Genomic DNA, 17,465 nt, shown 5'->3' on the forward strand with positions numbered 1-17,465 from the left:
GTGCCTCTGTTTCCTTAACTGAAACATGAGGGAAATAAGAAGAGCTACTTTAGAGCTATTGCAGGGATTAAAGGAAATAATCCACAGCAAGTGCTAAGAGCAATTCCAGCCTTAGCAAGAGCTCCAATATTAGCTATGAGGGTTAGACTGCCACTTAGTACATTATAAGTGTTATGAGCTGAAGTGTGTCCCTCTAAAATTCATATATTGAAGCTCAAACCCCCAGTACCTCAGAATGTGACTATATTTGGAGACACGTTCTTTATGGAGGTAATTAGGTTAAGAGGAGGTCATTGGAGTGGGCCTTAATCCACTAGGACTGGTGTCCTTAGGAGAAGAGGAGATGACGCAGACACAACAGAGGGAAGACCCTGTGAGGACACAGAGAAGACACCACCTACAAGGCAACGAGAAAGGCCTTAGGAGAAACCAACCCTGCTGGCACCTTGATCTTGAACTTCCAGCCTCCAAAACTATGAGAAGATAAATTTCCTTGTTTAGGCCACCCAGCGTAAACAGCCTTAGCAAACGAATACAAAGGTTGACTGGTATTTTTAGCAGAACTGATATTCAACCAGTGTGGAAGCAGAGCCAACATCACTTCTGGTTGGCAGTATCAGTTATGAAATATTTCAAATGTCTTTAACATCCACTCCCTTCCCCCCGTTGTTACTGTTACTCCAGGGGTGTCGACCCTGGGATGGGAGAACCAGCGTGGGCTGCAGAAATCAGTGGCAACAGGCCTGCCTTCTGCTCCCTCCTCTTGCCTTCCCTTCTGGGCTAACACAACTCAGCATGCCCTGTGCTCTGAGCACTTCCCCCGCCCTCCTTTGAAGCACAAAGGTTGTAATGACCAAGTGTAGTGACGGGGTGGAGAGGGCTCCTCTGAGCAAAGCTATTATCAAATGCTCATCTGAGAAGGCCTTGGGGATCCTGTCTGCCTCAGAGTGTGTGTGTTGCTATGACGATAAGCATGATCCTGTTTGCCCAGCATCTTCAGTCTTTCAAGTGGTCTCAGTGGCAGGTACTGTATACATGAGAGGCCCAAAGAAATCTGAACTGGGAATGAAGTTTTGCCCAGGCACATGGCCCACCCTCTTGGCTCTGCCACTGAGTCAGCCTTTGCCAACATGTTCCGCTGGAGTGCCTGCACCCTAGACTGAGGGGCCACTCGTACCTGAGGTTTTGCCCTCTTTTTTCAGTTACCAGCCACACAATTTGTCACTGCATCTGCCCACAGGGCCTTGACCCTTCCACACTCTCCTGGGAGACAGGAAGAAGGAACGGAGGTGACCTGCCAGTCTTAAAAATCTACCTGGGGACTGGCACTATGGGGAGCAGGCCACCCACTTGTGAAGGGTTGTTCAGCCTGTCATTGGCCTCCAGTTTTCTCTCCTGCCACCAAGGCACATCAGCACAGCTGGAGTCAGCATGCACAATGACAAGTAATGAGCACACATGCCTCATCAAAAGGATAATCAAAAGAAGAGGTCCGATCCAAGAAAAACCAACGTGATCCTCTCTAATGAATGGTCCCCACAGTGGCATTCAGCTCTAGAAGGGCAGGGAACTTCCAGCTGGCTGTAGTTTAGCTCTGTACTCTCCTTACCCAAGGTAAGCCAAGAGTGAGGCAGGCTGAAAAGAATGTATGAGCATTCCCTGGCCAAGATGGGAAAAAAAGCACCACTCTGAAGCAAGAATTGACCCTGCCCTCCAAGGCTGCCCCAGCTACCACCCCCTGGACCATGGGACAGCCTGTGCTGCCTTGTCCAAACAAGCATGTGTGCAAAGCAGCCCACAGCAAAGCCAAACAAACAGCTTGGCAGATAAGACCCCAAGGCTCTACCAAGCAAACGAGGTTCAATCTCAAAGCTTAGTTTGGTTCCGTCCCTTGCACAGGTTAATGGGACCAAGAGTCACCTTAGGAATTATGCAGCACAGAGATGCCTGATATAAAGAGGCCAATATAGAATGCATAATAGGGCCAAGCCCCTAAGACTCTCCCAGAAATCAGTTTCTAGATTCTACAGATGATGCTTTCCATCTGCTTTACAGTTGCCAAAGCAAATCACGTTTATTCTAAAAACAGATAAGGGCTTGCTCACACCAATCAAAAGCAGGTTTTTATCTACTATTAGTAGGCTGCCTCTTCAGCAGAGACTATCGTGTTCCCCAGCCAGGCTAACTGGCATTAAACCACTTATAAGTACCCACTAACAAGCTAGGTACCCTGGGGAAACTGGACACAAACAAAGCATGGGCCCTGTTCCTTAGCATCTTGCAATGTGGATGGCGAGAAAAGATGCACATATTTGGAGATGACTTGAGATGGCAGTGCAGTCACACTGGCAGGAGAGCCAGGCTTGTGACGCAGGTCTGTGAGTGCCGGAAGCACTGGGCAGAGTCGGCCAGCGCCCTGCAAATCCAACCAACAGAACAAAACTAGCCAGCAGAGGCTTAAGAGGCTGAGAAGCTGAGCTGTTTGTCTTAGGTTGGTAGCCCAGGGTGAATACAGCTATCTCTGGCCAGGCATGTAGCACAGCACAGAGTTGATGAGATCTAGTCCAAGAGCTACTCTGCTTGGGTTCAATTCCTGGCATGGCCACCTAGGTCCCTCATGTGATCTCTCTGTGCCTCCATAGCCCCATCTGTAAAATGGAGACCAATAAACAGCATGCATATCATAGGCATGTTGGGAAAAATGTCAGCACAGTGGCTGGCATGTAGGAAATGCTTGATAAATGTTGGCTATTATCCTGAATCTAAACTTCTAAAGGGGTTCCCTTTTGTTTATGGCAGGAATCAGAATATCCACTCTGAGTCCAAAGACAGATTATGTAGCTCAAAGTAATTTTCATGTTAAATTAGATTTTCTTGGGTGGTAGTGGGGGAGGGCTTAGAATCCTATGAACATGGCATAAGTCAAAAGAGACTGTGACTCAAAGTAAAGGCCATTGTAATCCCAACAAATGCAAGGGCTAGAAACAGAATGAGGCCTGCTTTTCCTGCCAGGGAACAGCAACTGTAGTATCCGAGCAGGGAAGGGAATTAGGCACCAATGAGAAAGCACATCAGCCATGATATCCCAGAACAGCTAGCAGCAGGGCACAAGCCCAACTCCCTGCTGGCAGGACCCCCTCTTCATCCTTCACTGCTATATCCAGATTCCTCCCCAGCACTCGTGCCCTGTCTGGGGAGGACACTTAAAATATTCCTCACAGACTAGACACCAACACCTAACTTTTCTCAGGTCCTCCTAAAGCCAATCCCCTCCCGTCTTCCACTCTTTCCAGAACTTGAGCACATGGGACAGTTCTAGAATGTGCTTGCCTGTGGGAAGCACAGTCTTTCTTTGCCTTCCAGTTGGCCTGCCCTTCTGCCCCCTTCCTTTCAACATCAATGTCCCTTCTGAGGGAGGGCACTGCCATTATGGGAGCGAAGAAGGGGTCGTTGAGTCACCCCCACCTCCTCCACCCACCTTGCCTTGGCCTCTCCGGCTCAGAACACAACACAACTCTGAAGAAGTGGATGCTACTGGGCACGGTCCAGACCTGGGGGTGGCTGCAGATTTCAGAAGCCTTCCTACTTCTCATTTTTTCCTTAAGGGGAGGCATCTGCCCATGTCCTGAGTCAGGGGGATGTTTGGGTTAAGTTCCACAGGGCATCCAGTGACAGCAGACCTTCTATGTGTCCGGATTCACTAGCTGGGCAAGCTGACCTCTTCAATGGTCCACTTACTCATCAGATGGATACGTAGAAATGGTTAAATGAGATCATGAATGTGAAGCACATAGAGTTTGAGCCATGATGGCCATCCGCCTAACTGACCACCATTATTATCTATATGGCTATGGTGACTGGTGTCTAGTTTTCTATTCGTTCATTAAACGAACATTGACATATTTTTCTAGCATCAACCATGTTTCTGGCACACAGTGGTAACAGACAAACGTGGTCCCATCCCTCGAGGAATTTAGGGTCTAGTTGGGGAGTGATATGGTTTGGCTCTGTGTCCCCACCCAAATCTCATCTCAAACTGTAATCTCCATGTGTCACTTCCCTGGTGGGTAGTGACTGGATAAAGGGGGTGGTTTCCCCCATGCCATTCTCATGATAGTGAGTGAATTCTCATGAGATCCGATGGTTTAAAAGTGTTTGGCCATACCCCCTTAATGCTCTCTCTCTCCTGCCGCCTTGTGAAGAAGGTCCTTGCTTCCCCTTTGCCTTCCACCATGATTGTAAGTTTCCTGAGGCCTCATTGGCCATGAAGAACTGTGAGTCAATTACAAATGGACTCTTTCCTTTATAAATTGTCCAGTCTCAAGTATGCTTTATAGCAGTGTGAAAATGGACTAATACAGGGAGACAGCCAGAAAACAATTAAAGAAAGGAAGAAACATCATTTCAGGTTGTGAAAATGCTATGAAAGAAACCAATGGAGTTTGTGACATAGGATAACAAGAAGGAACTTACTTTAGAAACAGCAGTCGAAGAAGGCCTCACTGAGGTGACATTTAAGCTAAAAAGGAATGATGAGAAGAAGCTAGCCATGTGGAGAGGAGGGGCTTGATGGGTCCAAGAAATGAAAAAGTCAGTACGGCTGCTGTGCCATCACAAAAGGGATAGTGTCATTTGGTGAGGGGGAGAGCTGGGCAGGGGCTAGGTCTGTAGTCCTTGGTAAGAAGCTTAAATTTTATCCTAAGGGTAATACAAAGTCTCTGAAAGGTTTTAACCAAGAGAGGGTATCTCATATAGATGTACCAGACTTTAATTATTCACAATAAAAATTCCTATTTACTCCTATCGAGCACTCACTGTGTGCTAGGCTCTAGGCTAAAAATTGTGCATGCATTATTCAGGCAGGGCATGGTAGCAATGGGGACTAGAGTGATGGAGATGGGGATGGAGAAAAGTGCAGAGATTTGAGAAGTGAATAAAGGAAAAGAAAGTGGTCAGGCTTTGCTGACAGAGTGAAGAGGACCCAGGGTAGAGCCTGGCTGAGACACTGCCACTGGCTTCTCAAGCTATCCCATCATCATCATTCTTATCATATCCCTATCAGAACTATCATTTAACCAAAGAACAAGACAAGATTAAATCAATTAGTCAACTTCTTTAAAACCATTATAAACACTGCACAATGTGCTAAGTGAGAAGCACATGCTAAGTTATTCTGTACTCTAGAGAACTCTAGTACTCCATGTTCGGGGACTTCGGAGTCTCGCTCTGTCACCCAGGCTGGAGTGCAGTGGCGCGATCTGGGCTCACTGCAAGCTCCGCTTCCCGGGTTCACGCTATTCTCCTGCCTCAGCCTCCCAAATAGCTGGGACTACAGGTGCCCGCCACCACGCCCGGCTAATTTTTTGTATTTTTAGTAGAGATGGGGTTTCACCATGTCAGCCAGGATGGTCTCGATCTCCTGACCTCGTGATCTGCCTGTCTCGGCCTCCCAAAGTGCTGGGATTACAGGCTGGGGACTTTTTATTAACCTATTTCCAATGGCTGAGTCTAGAAATATTTTCCAAAAGAACCTGACAATTGCTAAATGAGCCGATGGACTTAAATCAGCTCCAAGGACAAAACCAGAGAATTAACCTAGAGACCCAAAGTCCTAGTGCTATTTAGCAACTACAACAGTGCTGCTAGTACAGTCGGTGTAACCAAGCACAAAGGGCTTCTTACTGCATCACACAGCCTGTCAGGCACAGACGCAGAACAACATCAGGCTCAAAACAGTCACAGAGCCTTGAGCCCAGGAATGGCTTCTCGTAAGTGCAGCAGGAGAATAATTCCCGGAATATGGATTCTTTCAACCATAGCATGAGTAACAATATCAGTTGCCATGTTTTTGTCGAAACAACAATGCATGTCTGGGTTCAGAACCTGCTGGGAAAAGATTAAGCTGAAAGGGTCTAACCCACCCCTCACCATGGAGAGCACGTACACTCCTGCAGGCATTCTGGAAAACCTTGGCCATTTTCATCAATGCATGGGTGAATTTCAAAACAATATGCAACAGTCCAAGTGAGAAAACAAAAACAAAGTGAGAGGAGAAAAACACTTTCTAAAGCTGAATGCCTTGGGTCTGTCATCCTCCTGCACCTGGAAAGAATGTGTTAACTTGCAGGTAAGAAGAGAGAAAGGTATCATGCTTATCTGACCTGGCCTCAGCCCCAGACCTGGACAAAGGTTGTCATTTTTGGAAGCTAGCCATTCACCTACTTAGTAAAAATCTTACACCGAAGCCACTGCAGGGGACAGGCAGGATTATAAATCATAACAAGATGGAGAAGGGACAAAAGAAAAATGAAGGCTGGAACTGGAAGAAACAGCCACTTCTTGGAAGGGGAATTGTCCCATTCTCATTAATTACCCTCCGGAGCTGCAAAAATCCAATCTGGGCACATGGTCTGATTGACACATCACTGATCAAACTAGGTCCGTTTGCAGAATATGCAGCCATCAGGGATGATTCTCCTTGCATGAAGAAGTTTTATTTTTTTATCTCAGCCTTCAGTTTGCTCATGTGTCCTTTAATGGAATGAATCAAGTTATGCAGCCTGTGAAAATAATGAATGCAGAGGCCTAAAAGGTGACACATGGGAGCTTGCTCTGAACTTGAACCTGAGACACCACTTTAAGGAATCACCCGAAGCCCAGAGTATTGGTGTCATCTGTCACCTCTGCTCCTCATTTCTTATTCATACTCTTAGCTTAGAACTGTGAGATGTTAAAGCTGGCACACATCTTAGAAATCAAGCTGTCTGGGACTCATGCTGAAGATAAAGAAGCAGTCCCAGCAAGGATGGGTGCCTGTTGCCACACACCTGGCCAACGGCAATTCCAGAATTGGAATAAAAAAGAAGGTCTCCTGAGCACTGGTCCAGCGAGAGCCTTCCTGCCACACTGGGAAATGTTTCTCAGTCCTTTTCATGAATATAATCAATAATGCAAAGCCCTAGAAGGAAGTCAAACAGGTGCTGGAGCTAACAGATTTCAAATGCATCCTGCCAATTGTCCGGTCGGTGTTTCCTGGTCAGATCATGGAGTTTGGGAGCCCCAGCAGGTGGTTCCTGGCTTTGTGTTTTTCTCAAGCTCCCATTAAGCAGAAGGCTTGGCATGGAGGAGAAGAAGCAGATGGTTCTTGCTGAAGTCCAGGTTGCCATATTGGACTTCCACTGCATTCCCTGTTGCTGAAAGAACTTGGAAGATTCATGCCCATTTGAGAGGTGAACGTCTTCCAAAACGAGATGGAGGCAAGGATTATTAAAAACTATGACTGAGATCTGGAGATCAAGATTCCAAAGAGGGAACAGACTATTTTTAAAGTTTCTACTCTTCCCTGGGGGAAGGAAGGATGCCAGAGGCCTCTAAAGGCCACAGATTTCCTCCCAAGGGATGAGTGAAAGCAAATGACATTGATCGCCCTACAATATGTGCTCTTAAATGGGCCACTTCTCACTCTCCACAGAGACCGCCATCCTCTCTCTCCTGGACTGTGGCAGTAGCTGCTGGTCTCCTTGCTTCTATCCCTGCCGATGGCTAAACCAGAGCCACAGCCAACCTCTTAAAACAGGGCATTGGATCCTGTGACTCCCCTGCTACCCGCCTTCCGATGGCTTTGAATACATTTGATGTAGAACCCCGAGTCAGTCCTGTGGTTTGCAGGACCCTCCACGATCTGCTTCCTCCTCTGCAGCGCCCGTGCCGCCGCTCCTCTGACTTCTCCCCCTCGCTTGTTTCTTTCCAGCTCACCACCTCCTCACGGTTGCGGGACACGGAAACCCACTCCCACCCCCTTCGCACTCACTGTTGCTTCCACCTGAAACCTGCTGTCCGTAAATGTTCATGTCTCCCTCCCTTGCTTCCTTCAAATCTCTACTTAAACGTCCCCTCTTCGGATAGCCCTTCTCTGCCCACCCCATGGAGGCTGGCACTTTGCTCACCCCTCGCCCCTATCACTCCTGTGCCCCGCCGGCCGGGCTTTGGGGCAATGTGTTTATCACCTGCTGAGGGGATGCAGTCATCTCTCTCCCCTCTGAGAAGGTGTGTGAGCTCCATGCAGGCAGGACGTGGTCTGCCTGTTCACTGCCCTGTCTCCCTCTGGTGTCTGAGACAATGGCCAGCACAGAGAAGGGGCTCAGTCCATACCTTCTGGCTCGCATGGGATCCGTGCCTTTGAATGAGGTCTGGATGGAGAAAACACAGTTTCTCGTGGAAAACCCAAAGCCAGTGGGCCCTCTAGTTTCTTTGTATACACAGATTTGTTTCCAAATAGATATCCTCCCATCTACCCATGCAGCCCTGTTTTAGAGAGTGACAACCAAGCCTCAGGACACAACACATGGAGGCCTGGCAGGGGTCTGAGGGCGAGGGAACAGCAGTCGAATTCTGGCAGGAAGAGGGCATCCTACTCTCAGATCCCAAGCGTAGTCCAATTCTTGGGCATCTTTCCAAGGAAGAGCTCATCCCACCCACTTCCTAGATACAGCTAGCTTGAGAGTGGAACACTAAGGGAATTAGGAGCGGAAGAGAAAAGCAGGGGAAAGAGAAAAGCTGTCACCAATCGAGATGGATCCCAGAGCCCTCCTGAAAACTCCTGACCTCCCTGAGACAAAAGGCACGTGTTTTCTTCTTCCTGTGCAGTACCTCAAAATGCATCCAGTGAAAACCCAGTCAAGAGCTGCTGTCTTTTTTCCTAAGTCTCTAGAATAAACTGCCAGGTATTTATCTTAAATTAACAAGACTTCTAGTTATCCAGCAGGCCAATGGCTCTACTTCAACAAAGGACTGATTTTTTCCGGGTCTTTGAGAGGACATACGCCTAGGCACCTTCTTCCTTTGTGAGGGAGTATAACATGGCACTAAAGCAGGTTGTGATGTGTTTCAAGTGTATTTTAAAAAATTCCATGCCCAGTAATTGTACATAGAAGAATTCACTCTAAACAGGATGTCATACATCAGACAAAATATTATCTGCAAAGATATTCATCTAAGCACTATTTATAGTGGCGAGGGGGAGCCACGAACCACCTAAATGTCTAAAAATAACAATAATAATGTATGTAAAATTCTTAGCCCAGTGCCTGGCACACAGTGAGTATTCAATAAGGGGTAGATATAACATTGTTATTTTGAATAATTAAAGAGAGTATGGTACATTTATATGATGGATATTTTTGAAGCTTTTGTTTTTCTGTTGGTGTTATCACATGCATATAAAAATGTGAGTAAAAAATAAACTGGCCAGGCATGTTCGCTCATGCTTGTAATCCCAGCACTTTGGGAGGTGGAGGCAGCCAGATCGCTTGAGCCCAGGAGTTTGAGACCAGCCTGGGCAACACGGCAAGACCCCATCTCTATAAAAAGTTAAAAACAAATATTAGCCAGGCATGGTAGCATGCACTTGGTAGTCCCAGCCACTCTGGAGGCTGAGGTTGGAAGACCACTTGAGCCCAGGAGATCAAAGCTGCAGTGAGCTGTGATCACACCACTGCACTCCAGCCTGGGTGACAAAGTGAGACCCTGTCTCAAAAAAAAAGTAAGAAAAGCTTAAAAAATTATACTTTCTGCAGGATATCCATCCATATTTAAAAAAAAACCATCAATATTTCCACACTATCCCAACCTCTATATTTGACAACTGCGCAAAAGGCATATGCCGCCCACCAGATACTCTCTCCACCCTACCACTGCAATCTTTATTAGCCTTCCCTCCCAGAGGCAAGTGAAAAAAAAAACCTTCTGTAATTCGATCAGCATTTTTAGGATCTATTATGTTCTAAGGCCTGACTAGGATGAACATCACAGAAGGGACTGTTGAGAAGATCAGGCCGGAAGCTCATCCTGCCTACGGAGGATCTCTAGTGAGGGAGCAGAGGATTTGCCGGGCACACGAGGCCTTTCCCGGAGGCTGCAAATCAAACAGGCACAACAATCTGTGATGAATAAAGCAACGGCTGCGTTTTATCTCCAGAAAGCACCACTGAGCCAAAATCTGAAATCATGAGCTACATAATTCCTTTGGGGGAGAAATATATCCACAGGGGAGGAAGAAAATAAATCAACAGGCTTTCAGAAAAACTAGGGGTTGGTTGGGTCCCCTCCCCTTTTTCACCTTCATTCACACACACACTCACAAACACACACACAGGACAAGAACACATGCACAAACACACACTCTCTCCCTTTCTTCTAATCGTGCCCTTTTCCAATTAAGGCTGCCATTCAATACTTAGGTTCTGGTGACAACAAAATGAACAAGAAGCTCATTTGTATGTTTTGTTGTGTTGCAAAAACCCCAAGTGGAGTAAAAGAACCCTAAAACACATGCTGTCCGAACGGATTCTCAGGAGAGAAAATCTGACTCTGCAAATGCAGAAAATGGCGTAGCTGGAGGGGGCTTGAGACCCCATCCACCCCGTGGAGGAAACTAGGGTCCACCAAGTGACACTTAGTGTCCCCAAGATGCTACACAGAGAGTGTCCATTTTCTCCCAGCTTCAATATCATCCAACAAATCCTTCATCCTCCACTTTCCTGCTTATTCAATTTATTTAAAATAATGCCTTGACAAGACAGAAGCAGAAAGTCACTTCCCCAAAAGTCAAGACGTCTTTTACGTGTCTCTACTCCAATCCTTTGCAAGTAAGTCACTAGCGTTCAGGTGGATGACAGGGAAAAAAGGAATGAAAAAAGAAACCCGTGTCCCCCTCCATTCAGATCATTTCCATCTAAGTAGGAAGCCTGTGTTCACCCAGATACCAGTAGGCTGGTTCCTTTGTTTAAACAAAAGCTTTCCTGAAAGCTGCAGGGAACCAGAGGGCAGGAATTCTTAGCAAGAATTTTCTCTTAGTGAAACAGGAAGTGCCCTGGTGGGAATGTCTTGGCCTGGTTTAACAATTCTGGAAATTCGGTGTGGCGAGGTAGGCTTTGTGTGAATGTGTGTGACTAGCAGGTTCACCCAAGGAGCTATTTTAAACCCAGCTTGCGTTAATTGGCTATTTCTCCTACATGTACCTCATTTTACACACACATCCTCCAGGTAGAAGAGCAAGTCCAGGAATGAACAGGCCACTTACAAAGTACTGCATGTCCGACGGTGGCAGAGACACCCCCTTGCAGCTGGGTTACTGAACACATTCTTGAAAACCAACCAAGTGAATGCCTTTGAAAGTCTGTCTCATTTCCAAAAGACAATAAGGGAATGAAACCCCAGACAGTGTTAGATTTCAAGATAAATATAGACAGTCCCCTACTTAAGAACAGTTTGATTTACAATGTTTTGATGTTAAGATGGGTTTATTGGGGATATTAAATGTATTTTCAACTTAATATTTTAACTGACAATGAGTTTATTAGAATGTTGAGCCCATCTTAGGTCAAGGAGCATTTATCTGTGTAATATGCCTGACACCATACCTGACACACAGGAAGCAACGTATAAATACCCAAACTCCTCACCCCAGCATTGAGGCCAGATTCCCAATGACAGATGAAACTCATGCACCATGACACACACACAGACACGCCTGAAATATATGATAGTTGGTCTGTTCATTGAGGACCTGTCATGCGCAAAGCTCGAGGCAAGCGGCTCTCCATGAGTGTCGCAGGTTGCCCTGAGAATGTGGTCAGGTCCACTTTACCATACAGAGGAGGAGGGTGTTTAGGGTGCAGGTTACTGAGCCAAGGGCATTCAGTGAGTCGGTAGCAGAACCGGGGGTGGGCCCACTTTGATATGGAAGGCATCCTCTTCCCACTACATGGCCCTACATGAAGTTCCTTCACTTGAAGTATTTCAGAGATAAGTCCTTCCTTAGACATCCTTTTTGATCTACCTCCCGCCCGAAGCAAGAGCATCCTCAGCAGATGGTCATTCATCCTTTCTTTTTGTTTGTTTTTTTTGTTTTTTGGAGACACGGCTTTGCTCTTGCTGCCCAGGCTAGAGTGTGATGGCGTGATTGTGGCTCACCACAACCTCTGCCTCCTGGGTTCAAGTGATTCTCCTGCCTCGGCCTCCTGAGTAGCTGGGATTACAGGCATGTGCCATCATGCCTGGCTAATTTTGTATTTTTAGCAGAGATGGGGTTTCTCCATGTTGGTCAGGCTGGTCTTGAACTCCAGACCTCAGGTGATCCACCCGCCTCAGCCTCCCAAAGTGCTGGGATTACAGGCGTGAGCCACTGTGACCAGCCTGGTCATTCACCCTTTTTTTAAAATAATTATAATGGGCTCAGAGAGTTACCACTCCATTGCTGAGCTCAGGTCTAGTGGCCAAAAATTTTGCCTCTACAATGGGTTGGAGGCTGCCCTCACATAACCCTGATGCATTGGTTCTGGGTATGCTCATTTCTTTAACAGATTTGCCAAACATTAGGAAGATGATGATGATGATGATGATGGTGACCACGGTGATCACATCAACGCTTATCTTAAATCCTCTTTAAACAGAGAAGCCATATTTCAAGGGGTTCCCTCTCAAACTTACCCCATTGAGTACAAATTGGACATGTGGAGGTGAACAAGAGAATACTTTAATACTTACCCTAAATAATGGAACAACATAAAACTATTAAAATCAGGTTTCAAAGAAGACTCCATACCATGTAAAGATACCCACACGCTCTTAAGGAGAAAATTGGAAAAACAGTATAATCATTATTTTGTTTTAAGAACTATGTGCATATAAAAATGTATAGAATATAGAAAGAAATGCAAAAATATTAATAGTGGTTATTCCTCATTGATACAAGGGTTTTTTTTCTTTCAAAAAGTCTTCCTTTTATACTTTTGCATCATTTTGAAATTTTACAAAGGTTTTAAAAACAAATTTGGAATTATCCATCCAATCTAGAGAACTTCTCATGAGGGGACAAATCATATAAACATTATAATAATAACAACAATAACTGTAGCAGCTCCAAAATTTATATTGCACCTAGCATATGCCAAGCAGTATTCTGAGGGCTTTATATATATTAACACATTTAATTCTTTTTTTTTTTTTTTTTTTTGAGATAGGGTCTCATCCTGTAGCCCAGGCTGGAGTGCAGTGGTGCAATCTAGGCTCATTGCAGCCTTGACCTCCTGGGCTCAAGCTATTCTCCCACCTCAGCTTCCCAGGCAGTTGAGACCACAGGCACATGCCACAATACTGGGCTAATTTTTTGTTTATTTTGTAGAGATGGGGTCTCTCTCTGTTGCCCAGGCTGGTCTCAAACTCCTGAGCTCAAGGAATCCTCCCACCTCAGCTTTCCAAAGTGCTAGGATTACAAGTATGAGCCACTGAGCCTGGCCTAACACATTTATTTCTTACCACAACCTGTTGAGTTAGTTACCATTGTTGCCACCATTTTAAAGATGAGAAAACTGAGATCGGAAAGATTAAGTCACTTGTTCCGGGTCCCAGAAGTAGTAAGAGGAAGAGCCCAGACTTAAATCCAAGCAGTCTGGCCCCAGGTGTCCTGTGTTCTTGGCCACTACCCTGGGGCTGATGTTCCCCAGGCCAGAGCTAAAATAGACAGGATTAGGAGGATTGGGAAACAGCTCAAAAATCTATTTGAAAATTGTGAGCTTGTTAAAGTCCCTCATGGGGTTGCTCAGAGAGATAAACCAGAATTGGCAGTCCTCATTCAGATCTGAAAGCTTCAAGATCTTCATCCCATGCAGCTTCCTCACCAGTATACACATTCTGACATCTCCCATCCTGGCCTCTGTCAAATCTCACCCAGAAAGCCAACTAAAAATAGTCTCCATCCGGCTCTGACAGAAATGATGATGACAGCCAGGTTCAGGAAAAGGGTCTAGGCCAGGGGTGTCCAATCTTTTGGCTTCCCTGGGCCACATTGGAAGAAGAAAAAATTGTCCTGGGCCACACATAAAATATACTAATGATAGCTGATAAGCTAGGAAAAAAAAAAAAAGAAGAAGAAAGAAAGAAAAAGAAACTCGCAGAAAGAAAAAAATTCACATTTTAAGAAAGTTTACGAATTTGTGTTGAGCCACATTCAAAGCCGTGCCGGGCTGCAGGCTGGACAAGCTTGGTCTTCCGCCATGCTGCTCACACAGAAGCAGGCTCACGCCAGGCAGTGCCAGTTGGGTTTCTGAAGTAGCTCTACCTCTAAGTCTCCAGGGCACACGATGCGAGATGCAAATATCACAGAGCTTTCTAGGCAGCCAGCAGACGTGGAAAGCAGGTTAGTCAGGCTATGATTCAGTCTCCAGCTCTCTCCCTTCTCCCCTGGCTTGGCTGTGCCTCCTAGGAGGGAGTTCTGGGCCAAGAAGGCCACACACGCCCCCAGGCAGGCCACAGGCCCAGACTGCCTGGTCCTATAATACAGAAGATATGAGAGCCAGGAAGCCACAGAAACAGGCGTCAATGGGGCTTGGTGTCCCACACACAACCCCAGATTCATCAGACTCCAGCTCTTACTGTGCCATCTGGGCCACAAGGGAAATGGGAGCAGTGAAGTGGAGCTGGACCAGGAACCAGACACGAACCTACTCTGCTCCCAGGAAAGTAACTATGACCTCTGCGTCACTGTCCTTTGGTCTCTCAAGGATCCCACTTCCATTGCCTGTCCCTTAAACGCCCGGGAAGCGGCCTCTACCCCCTAAGAAGGTGAATGAATCCCCTGCTGGTGTTCTGAAGGCACCCGAGGTAGGTGAGGTCCAGGGAGCACCTGGGACAAGCAGAAGGAACAAGCCCCCTGAGGATGCGGAAGCAGAGTGACCAGGCCCATCGCAAGGCAACCCCTGAGCGAGGGATAATGCAGGACCTTATGAGCAGAAGCGGGGCTAACAACCAGCAAGGCCAGAGGACAGGCAGCCCTTTGCCAAAGGTGTCGACTTCTGCCCAGCTTTCTCTTGTTCTGGCAACGGCTGTCAGTGTCTGTTGGTGGAAGAACATGCCCCTGGTGCCAGAAGGCTGGGGTTTGAGTCTCATCTCTTTCTCATATCTGTGTCTTGGGGGAGGTTACTTAACTTCTCTGGGCCTCAGTTTTCTCCTCTGCACAGCAGAAATATAATCATATCTCTCTCACAGTTATTGTGATGAGCGTGGCAAAGCATTTTTTGTAAACTACAAGGAAGCGGGCAGTGGCTCCGAAGTTGTGTGTGATTGGACCTCACAGGACAAAACTGAGGTAACAGAGGATCACAATGCACCTTTTTCAGTTTGATATAATCATCTTGAAATTACATTTATCAGGATCATACAGAGTCTTCCCAAAACTGAAGGCCATGCATAACTTGTCCACCTCAAGCCCTTTGAACAGAGAACATGCATGTAGAGACTTCCAGAAAAATCCAATAACTGTTATCCAAATGGTCAAAAATCCAGCTGGGCTCAAGTGAGGTAACAGACATAGAAAACTGTGAAGAGTTAAAAACATGATGATAAAAAAGGACTTTGTTGGCCAGGCGCAGTGCCTCATGCCTGTAATCCCAGCACTTTGAGAGGCTAAGGCAGGCGAATCCCTTGAGCCCAGGAGTTTGAAACCACCCTGGGCAATATGGTGAAATCTCATCGCTACAAAAATTAGCCCGGCATGGTGGTGTGCACCTCTAGTCCCGCCTACTCAGCAGACTGAGGCAGGAGGATCGCGTGAGCCCAGGAGTTCAACGCTACAGTGAGCTGTGATTGTACCACTGCATTCCAGCCTGGGTGACAGAGTAAGAGCCTGTCTCAAAAAAAAAGGCTTTGTAATAAACTTTTCTGATGTTTTTCAGAATTCAATTTGTATAAATTTGAGACATCTACATTTCACAAATGTGATTATCCCATGCGATAATAAAGGAAGGTTTATCCCACTATTTCCTAAGCCTGGAGCTTCCTTAGACTTGTACGTAATTCCTGGTGCCCCTGACAGGCACCTTTCCAGCCTCTACGGAATCTTTAGCAGCCCCACGACACCAGGCTGAGCCTCGTGACATTGTGGCCACCAAGCGTGGGAAGGAACTACTAAACTTCAAAGTTGACTCAACCAAAAGAGAAAAATCGCAAGTCCCCGATGGAAAGGTGTTGATGGCTCTCTTTTCAAACACCTCCACGCCTGGCTGGGCACAAAGGCCTGACAGTGCCCCGAGCTACATCAACACAAGCTGGGTTCAAAGACTCACAGGTCTAAGCATCCTGGGCACCACAGAGATAGGAAAGTCCATGTGGAAACAGATCGTCTTTTCTATCAACCATGTGTGAATTTTGAACTCCTTTTCTTCTCAGTGTTAGAAAAGGAAAACCAACCCACTTTGCGGTCTCTCTGCGGTGTCTTTAGAAGGCCAGTTCCTTTACGTGCCTCTCAAGCCCATGCTGAATTTCTCTGTTCTCGTCCTAGTGCCTCTTTTGACAAGCCACGAGCCTCACTCAGCCCAGAGTGACACTTATCACTGGGCCGTGTGAAAACTGGGGGGCTGGGGAGGAAGTGAGAAGGATGCGAAAGCCGAGGCGGGAGGAGGGGGTGCCGCCTGAGGCCCTTGCGGCCAGCAGTGGAAACGCAAACTTGACATTTCCATTTTCCATCACCTTCTGATCTCAGGCCCCCAGTGCGATGCGATGCGCTGGCTTTTCATTTCCACTCCCTTTCACACCCAGCACATTAAAGGCCGCTGCAAGAACAACAATGGAAAAAGGCTCAGGGCTTTAAATCACGAAGCCTGGGGAAATTCAACAGTTGCTATCTCCAGCTTCTCTACCCAAAGCACCAAAAAAGCCTTCCCTGAGGGAGTCCAGGCCCCCTCCCAGGGCGGGCGGCAGGAGTACTGCTTTTGATCATCTGTACTTCTGCGGCCACTCTCAAACTTCCCTCCCCAAACACCACAGCCCGGCTGTGAGCTGAAAGAGCTCCCTTTGGCCCTCCATCAGAAGCGGACTTTCTGACCATTCACTAATTCTAGCAAGAAGGTCCACTAAGTATTGTAAAATGTATAGCTTCCCGCCTGCTTTTTCTCTGACCTAGTTAAAAGCACTGTGTTGGACATACATCTTCTCGACCATATGAAAAGTGGGAATAAATGTCTTAATTGGTACCAAGTCCCTGAGCACGTGAGCCAGCTTGCTAGATGCTCAGACAGGACTCTACAAACATGAGCCCAGGTCATATATTTACTAAGATGTGCTCCCAGGTGGCTCTCAAATGGCACAAAGAGGAAAGACCCCAGCAGAAATCAAGATGGGTGGGAAGCTGTTCTTTTCATGAGAGTGAAAAGACTGGAGCTATCTCATTTTGGGCTGAGAAGCCCTGGCTGGCCATAGCACAGCTGCCAGTAAAGGGAAACAGCGCCACAGGCTGCCTGGAGGAGCTGGTCTCCTATGCGGCAGACACTGGCTGTCAAAGGGTTGTGTGGCCCCAACGTGAAATAATGGCTGTACTTATGAATTGGTTTGTTTATATGCCATCAACCAGGATGCTCTGCCAGCTTGCTGCTTTAAGAACGACAAACTATTGAATGCAATTGAATGCCTAT

General features: G+C 46.7%; 1 protein-coding gene across 2 annotated transcripts in view, besides 4 other annotated features; it reads right to left on the reverse strand.

Moving 5' to 3' along the window:
* Window positions 1-17,465, reverse strand: part of GFOD1 (Gfo/Idh/MocA-like oxidoreductase domain containing 1) — a 129,771-nt gene that overhangs the window by 54,132 nt on the left and 58,174 nt on the right. The window lies entirely within an intron of this gene.
* Window positions 8,003-8,092: an enhancer, noted in NCBI's record as "active region_24025". NCBI's record gives its function as "activates an Ori minimal core promoter by ATAC-STARR-seq in GM12878 lymphoblastoid cells {active_cell/tissue: GM12878}" and the evidence as "EXISTENCE:reporter gene assay evidence [ECO:0000049][PMID:35858748]".
* Window positions 10,012-10,801: an enhancer, noted in NCBI's record as "OCT4-NANOG-H3K27ac hESC enhancer chr6:13422205-13422994 (GRCh37/hg19 assembly coordinates)". NCBI's record gives its function as "activates a minimal SCP1, AML or CMV promoter by ChIP-STARR-seq in primed H9 embryonic stem cells {active_cell/tissue: H9 hESC(primed)}" and the evidence as "EXISTENCE:reporter gene assay evidence [ECO:0000049][PMID:30033119]".
* Window positions 15,868-16,297: an enhancer, noted in NCBI's record as "active region_24026". NCBI's record gives its function as "activates an Ori minimal core promoter by ATAC-STARR-seq in GM12878 lymphoblastoid cells {active_cell/tissue: GM12878}" and the evidence as "EXISTENCE:reporter gene assay evidence [ECO:0000049][PMID:35858748]".
* Window positions 17,308-17,377: an enhancer, noted in NCBI's record as "active region_24027". NCBI's record gives its function as "activates an Ori minimal core promoter by ATAC-STARR-seq in GM12878 lymphoblastoid cells {active_cell/tissue: GM12878}" and the evidence as "EXISTENCE:reporter gene assay evidence [ECO:0000049][PMID:35858748]".

Source organism: Homo sapiens, chromosome 6 (genome assembly GCF_000001405.40).
Source record: "Homo sapiens chromosome 6, GRCh38.p14 Primary Assembly".
NCBI lineage: Eukaryota > Metazoa > Chordata > Mammalia > Primates > Hominidae > Homo > Homo sapiens.